This window comes from Homo sapiens, chromosome 12 (assembly GCF_000001405.40).
Source record: "Homo sapiens chromosome 12, GRCh38.p14 Primary Assembly".
Taxonomy (NCBI): domain Eukaryota; kingdom Metazoa; phylum Chordata; class Mammalia; order Primates; family Hominidae; genus Homo; species Homo sapiens.
Window position 1 is genome coordinate 50,135,906 of NC_000012.12, and position 6,758 is coordinate 50,142,663.

The following is a 6,758-nucleotide window of genomic DNA, read 5'->3' on the forward strand; positions in this document are numbered from 1 at the left end:
AGAAGAAGATGGAGAAAGAGAGATTGGGTTTTTACCTCCAGCAAGAAGTCTGAGACATCATGTAGACACATGATCAGAGTTCCCACTCGAACCATATTGTTGATGTAGGAGAAGGAGATAAGCCCAATGGTGACCAAGTGATGCACAAACATGATCAGGAAGTCCTAGGAAGGAATGGAAATAGAAGAGGGAGGTAAAAGCTGGGCCCTAGAAACACCAGCCAACCCAACGTCCTGCATTATTCTCTAAGAATCTTACCCCACCCCATATAGAATAGTTTCCATTGGCCGGGCGAGGTGGCTCATGCCTGTAATCCCAGCACTTTGGGAGGGCAAGGTGGTCGGATCACCTGAGGTCAGGAGTTCGAGACCAGCCTGGCCAACATGGGGAAGCCCCGTCTCTACTAAAAATACAAAAATAAGCCGGGCTTGGTGGCATGTGCCTGTAATCCCAGCTACTCGGGAGGCTGAGGCAGGAGAATTGCTCAAACCTGGGAGGTAGAGGTTGCAGTGAGCTGAGATCGCGCCACTGCACTCCAGCCTGGGCGACAGACTGAGATTCCGTCTCAAAAAAAAAAAAAAAGTTTCCATTCTGCTTAGACTCTCCCTTGGCTACCTAGCATTTAACTGAACACTCCCTACATCAGTGACTGACCCATACTCTATGTTAATGCAGCTCAGAGGCCAGAAAGTAAAAATTTCCTTTGGTAACTGCAGAATACGTATAGCATGGATGCTAAGCTGACACTTGGGGATAACATCCCAGTAAGACATACAAGCCTTAGAGTTCCCTGAGATTCTATGACTCTTCTGCTTTAATGAGAGAAACGTCAACCACAAGGACCTAATGGAAGGGAGAGGTTTGTGGCTCTAATTTCCTCTTGGGTTCAAATGTCAAGTTAGACCTGGGGAAGTCTCTAAATACTTGAGTTATCAGACACATCTATTAAATACTTCTCAGTTTATTATTTTTAAAACTTAAATATGTATTTCAAACTTTCTTATATGTATCACAATTAAAATAAAATTTTAATAAAGTGACCTGTGTCTTCTGACCATAGGAGAGTAAAAGGCATAAAAATTGAGTATCAAGTTTCTATGTTAGATAACACTAACAACCTGGGTAAGTTTTAATTCATTCCCATAAATGCTAACCCTGGTTTTCTTCATCAAAGATAACCCTGAGTTAGTGACAGATTAGGGTTAGAGCTGCTAGAACCACATTATTTCAGGTAGACACTAATAAAAAGGTAAAGATTCTGCCTTTAAATGACTTAAGTTGTGTAAAACTTAAGTCATTTCCAACTCTGTCACTATCTGGGCAAGTCAGCTCACTTCTCTCAATCTTTGCTTCCTAAACAATAGCAGGAAGAGAGCAAAACCCCTTCCAATTGACTTTCTTTGAGTAAGTGGGGTAACCAGAAAGGGAGAACAGAGAGAGCAAGGGTCCCTAATGCCATGTGAAAGCCATATCCAGCTTTTCTGGAATCAGACATTTTTTCTGAATAAGGCATTGCTATCCCCCAATTCTGACTAGTTTCCTGAGCTTTAGATATGTAAGAAGCTTAAAGAAGAATATGGAAAAAAGTATGCTTCTTAGCTGGTTAATTGTTCTCATCCTGGGGCTTCCCTGAATGTCTTAAATATACTTCATCATTAATTCAGTCTCATTTCTGGGAACATTACGACAAGCTAAGAGTCCATCAAACCCAGTTTCTCCTTTTGCAGTCTCAGGGAAGATAATACATCGTAATGGCAGTCATGGAAGCTGCTAGAAAGGAGGATGTAATAAGTTGGGGAATTGAGGGAGCCAACGTCCTTACCTTTCTTTTAATGTCTGTAAACTGAGAAAACATAAGGGACCAATAGAAGGCCAATTCCATGATATAATAGTGATAAAGCCCACTTGAAAGAGGCTGGAAGAGAGAAAGAAGTAGTTAGATTACCGGCTAGTCAAAGGTGCATTCCATCTCTCCAACTTTCTCTGCCTTGGAGGACCAATACCCCAAATTATTAGACATCTCTCCTCCCCATTATCTGCCAAGATATGCAATAGCTAACAGACTTTGGATTGGTGTAGAGACTTAAGCCTCTTCCCTTGCTCCTCTGCACACACATCTTCAGCTCTCATCTTGCAGAGATGAGATACAGTTAACACATACTGTAACACAATCAAATCAGTATGTCTAGGATTCTGGGCAATTAGTGCTTTTCACAGGATTAAATACACATAGGCCTTCTCTTCCACCCCTTTAGCAGTTCCTAGACATATTTCCAGTATAGGTTACAACCAAGATGCTCTACTGGGATTCCAAGTTACCCTTGATACAAAAAAGACACCTGAACCAGAAAGTACCTCATTAAATACCAGAAACTTGCTTTTCTTTTAGCCCAATTAGGGGGAATTAAATGGGGAAAATCAGAACAAAAAACTCATTGGATTTCATTGCTATGGGGGCCTCAGGAATAGATACCTCATATGACTCTTAGCAGTGGGGGGGAAAAAAAAATAGATACCCTGAATATGACTTAAAGGGACTCAGTCCCTAATCCCTCAATCCCAAGGAAACGCACCATCTGTCCTGGGGACTGGCAAAGGACCCTCACTCACTCCACCTTATACACATTCAAGACCCCTATCCTGAAACGACTCAGATCCTACCTGAAATGGATAGTTATGCCAGCACTGTCGGATGTCCCAGAACCAAGGTGACTAAGAGAAAACAGATAATCCATGTCAGTCCTCAAGATTCTCACCTGGCTTCAAGATCTACCTCATATAATCCCCTTCTCTCTAGGCTGGGGCAAAAGAGGACAGAAAAGCCCCCAAACAGATTTTAGGGCTCCCTAAAGGATCAATAAATAGCTAGACTGTTCTTCTACAACAGAATGTTATAAATAGAAAAACAATGCTTTGAGGTAAATAAGAACAGTGAGAGCTTTAGGCTAGTTTTAGGAAATATCACTACCTGGAATATATATACAGGAAGACAATGATTCATTTGATAACCAAGAAAGATATCTCCATGCCATGTTCAGAAGTCAAAAGTAATCATCTCTAATGGAATAATGATTATGTCCTTTAAGGAGTTTGTCTACATCATCTTTGCTGCTGGATTTCTTATCATTAAATTGTTCATAATACTGTCTTATTATCCTTTCAATGACTATAGGATCTGTAGTGATAACCCTTTCCATATTGATAATTCATATTTCCTTTTTTTGTTGGAGTTGGTCAATTTTAATCAAACCTTTCAAAGAATGAACTTTTGGCTTTATTAATTTTATCCATGGCCAGGCACAGTAGCTCACACCTGTTAATCCTAGCACTTTGGGAGGGTGAGGTGGGTGGATTGCTTGAGCCCAGGAGTTCAAGACCAACTTGGGCAACAGAGTAAAACCCCATCTCTACAAAAAATACAAAAATTAGCCCGGTGTGGTTGTGCACATGCCTGTAGTCCCAAGTTTCCTGGGAGGCTGAGGTGGTAGCATTGCCTGAGCCTGGGAAGTTGAGGCTGCAGTGAGCTGTGATCACGCAACTGCACTTCAGCCTGGGTGACAGAGTAAGACCCTGTCTTTAAAAAACAAAACAAAACAAAACAAAACAGGCCAGGCGTGGTGGCTCACGCCTGTAATCCCAGCACTTTGGGAGGTCGAGGTGGGAGGATCACCTGAGGTTAGGAGTTCAAGATTAGCCCGGCAACATGATGAAAATCTGTCTCTACCAAAAATACAAAAATTAGCTGGGCCTGGTGGCGTATTCCTGTAGTCCCAGCTACTAGGAAGGCTGAGGCAGGACAATCACTTGAACCCAGGAGGCAGAGGTTGCAGTGAGCCGAGATTGTACCACTGCACTCCAGCCTGGGAGACAGAGTGAGACTCTGTCTCAGACAAACAAACAAACAAAAACCCCACAAATGTATCCATTGTTTTTCTAATGCCTATTACATTAATTTCCACTTACTTACTTTATTATCATTTTTTAGAAATGGGGTCTCACTATAGAGACTGGATCTCGCCATCTTGCCCAAGCTGATCTCGAACTCCTGGGCTTAAGTGATCCTCCTACCTTAGCCTCAAAGTGAGGGGAGTACAGGGGTGAGCCACCACGCCTGGCCAATTTCTGCTTATTTTTTATTATTTCCTTACTTTAACCTATTTTGCTTATCTTTTTCAAGAACCTAAAGCAGAAATTTAGATCAACTTTAAACCTTTTGTAATATAAACATTTAAAGCTATAAATTTCCCTCTAAGTATGTTTTATCTGTATCCCAGAAATTTTGATATGATTTTTAGCATGATTCAATTAAAAATATTTTCTTCTCTTGTGATTTTTTATTTGATCCACAGGTTATTGAGAAGAGTTGTTTAACTTCCAAATTTTTTTTTTTTTTTTTTTTTTTTTGAGACAGACAGAGACCCAGGCTGGAGTGAAGTGGCATGATTTTGGCTCATTGCAACCTCTGCCTCCAAGGTTCAAGCGATTCTCGTGCCTCAGCCTCCCCAGCAGTTGGGATTATAGGCACGTGCCACCATGCCCGGCTAATTTTTTGTATTTTTAGTAGAGATAGAGTTTTGCCCTGTTGCCCAGGCTGGTCTTGAACTCCTGAACTCAGGCAACCTGCCTGCCTCAGCCTCCCAGAGTGCTAGGATTACAGGTGTGAGCAACCTCATGCAGGCGAATTCCAAATGTTTTCCATGTCTCTCATTACAATTGACTTGTAATTTAATTCCGTTATGGTCAGAGAACACATTCTTTAAGATTTCAATATTTTGAAATTTACTGAGACTTATTTTATGGCCCAGCATTAGTTTATCTTTCTACATGCACTTGAAAATTATATGTATTCTTCAGCTGTTGGTGTAGTGTTTTATAAATGTCAATAAGGTAAAACTGGTTGATCATGTCATTCATATCTTTTACACCCTTAGTGATTTTTTTTTTTTTTTTGCCTAGGGTTTAGGTCAATTACTGAGAGAAAAGTATTAAAATCTTCAAATACAACTGTATATTTGTCTATTCTCTTCCTTTAGTTCTGCCAGCTTTTTGTCTATAATATTTTGAAAACACAATGATATCATTTAGAGAGAAACAGTATGGTATGGGGAAAAAAACATGAACTAAAGAATCAAAAAGCCTAAAATTCTTCTTCCTTCTTTTTCTGAGGCAGAGTCTTGCTCTGTCACCCAGGTTGGAATGTAGCGGCTCCATCACGGCTCACTGCAACCTTGACCTCCTGGGCTCAAGCGATTCTCCTACCTTAGCCTCTTGAGTAGCTGGGACTACAGGTGCACGCCACCACGCCAGGCTAATTTTTGTAGCTTTTTGTAGAGACGGGGTTTCACCATGTTGCCCAGGTTGGTCTTGAACTCCTGGGTTCAAATGATCTGCCCATCTTGGCCTCCCAAAGTGTTAAAATTACAGGTGTGAGCCACTGTGCCTGGCCCCCTGAAATTCTTCTTTGATTCTGACAATTAACTAAAAAGTAGGAATAATACCTGTTTCACCCACTTTAAAGGGTTTATTCCATTTCTCCTCCTTCAATTTTTGTCAAGTGCTTTGTAAACCATTAAGTATTATGCTGATTTAGTTATTACTAGTATTATTAGTATCTTCTAGGGGAGAAGCAGTAAAGTTATAAAGTTACTGAAGTCAGGCCCCAGACAGAAGACAATCTATTAGGATATAAACCTGGGCTGTGGGCATCACAGAGGAAAAGTTGGGGGAAATATAAAGATCTAAAGGTATTTAGGCCAGGCTCAGTGGCTCATGCCTGAAATCCTGGCACTTTGGGAGGCCAAGGCGGGTGGATCACCTGAGGTCAGGAGTTCAAGACCAGCCTGGCCAACATGGTGAAACCCCGTCTCTACTAAAAATACAAAAATTAGCCAGGTATGGTGATGTGCACCTGTAGTCCCAGCTACTCGGGAGGCTGAGGCAAGAGAATCTCTTGAACCCAACAGGCAGAGGTTGCAAGTGAGCTGAGATTCCACAACTGCACTCCAGCTTGGGTGACAGAGCAAGACTCCGTCTCAAAAAAAAAAAAAAAAAAAGAAAAGAAAAAAATCTAAAGGTATTTAACTCTTACTTCTAGAGATCTAGGCATGATTAGAACCCAACAGAGGACTAGAGAAAGTTAAGACTCACCGACCAGAGAAATCTAATTCCATAGCAGAATATACATAAATAAAATGTGAATCTCCACCTGGGTGGGCAAAGAGTAAAGGTTAGACAAATGTCCACTCAAACCAAAGCCTCTGAGGCTACGGAAGTCAAGATAGCAAATTTGGGGATAAGAGTTACTGGTGAGAAAGAGGATCAATTCCTAGAATAGGCAACTACTGTCATTTAAAAAGCCAAAGACAGGGGCCAGGAGTGGTGGCTCACACCTGTAATCCCAGCACTTTGGGAGGCCGAGGCAGGTGCATCACCAGGTCAAGAGATCGAGACTATCCTAGCCAACATAGTGAAACCTTGTCTCTACGAATACAAAAATTAGCTGGGCATGGTGGCGTGCACCTGTAGTCCCAGCTACTCAGGAGGCTGAGGCAGGAGAATCGCTTGGACATGGGAGGCGGAGGTTGCAGTGAGCAGAGACTGTGCCACTACACTCCAGTCTGGTGACAGAGCAAGACTCCGTCTCAAAAAAAAAAAAAAAAAAGCCAAAGCAGCGTCATCTTTCATTAGGAAAATATTAGGCTGTATCATCAGACTCCCTAGCATTTTTCTTTACATGACAATTACTAATACAGTGCTCA

The 6,758-nt window shown here is 41.6% G+C and overlaps 1 protein-coding gene across 18 annotated transcripts in view; it reads right to left on the bottom strand.

The window, feature by feature from the left end:
• Window positions 1-6,758, bottom strand: part of CERS5 (ceramide synthase 5) — a 38,081-nt gene that overhangs the window by 6,617 nt on the left and 24,706 nt on the right. For 14 of the 18 annotated variants that reach the window (NR_138533.3, NR_138534.3, NR_138535.3 and 11 more), the window contains 4 exons: window positions 6,148-6,205; window positions 2,662-2,712; window positions 1,823-1,915; window positions 36-164 (listed from right to left, as the gene is read on the bottom strand). Coding sequence is in view for 12 of the 18 variants with exons in the window: in NM_147190.5 (NP_671723.1) it covers window positions 36-164; window positions 1,823-1,915; window positions 2,662-2,712; window positions 6,148-6,205 (331 nt within the window). In the remaining 6 variants the exon portion in view is untranslated. The remainder of the gene's footprint in view (window positions 1-35; window positions 165-1,822; window positions 1,916-2,661; window positions 2,713-6,147; window positions 6,206-6,758) is intronic. The other 4 variants (NR_138532.3, NR_104035.3, NR_138536.3 and 1 more) reach the window with 1 other exon arrangement.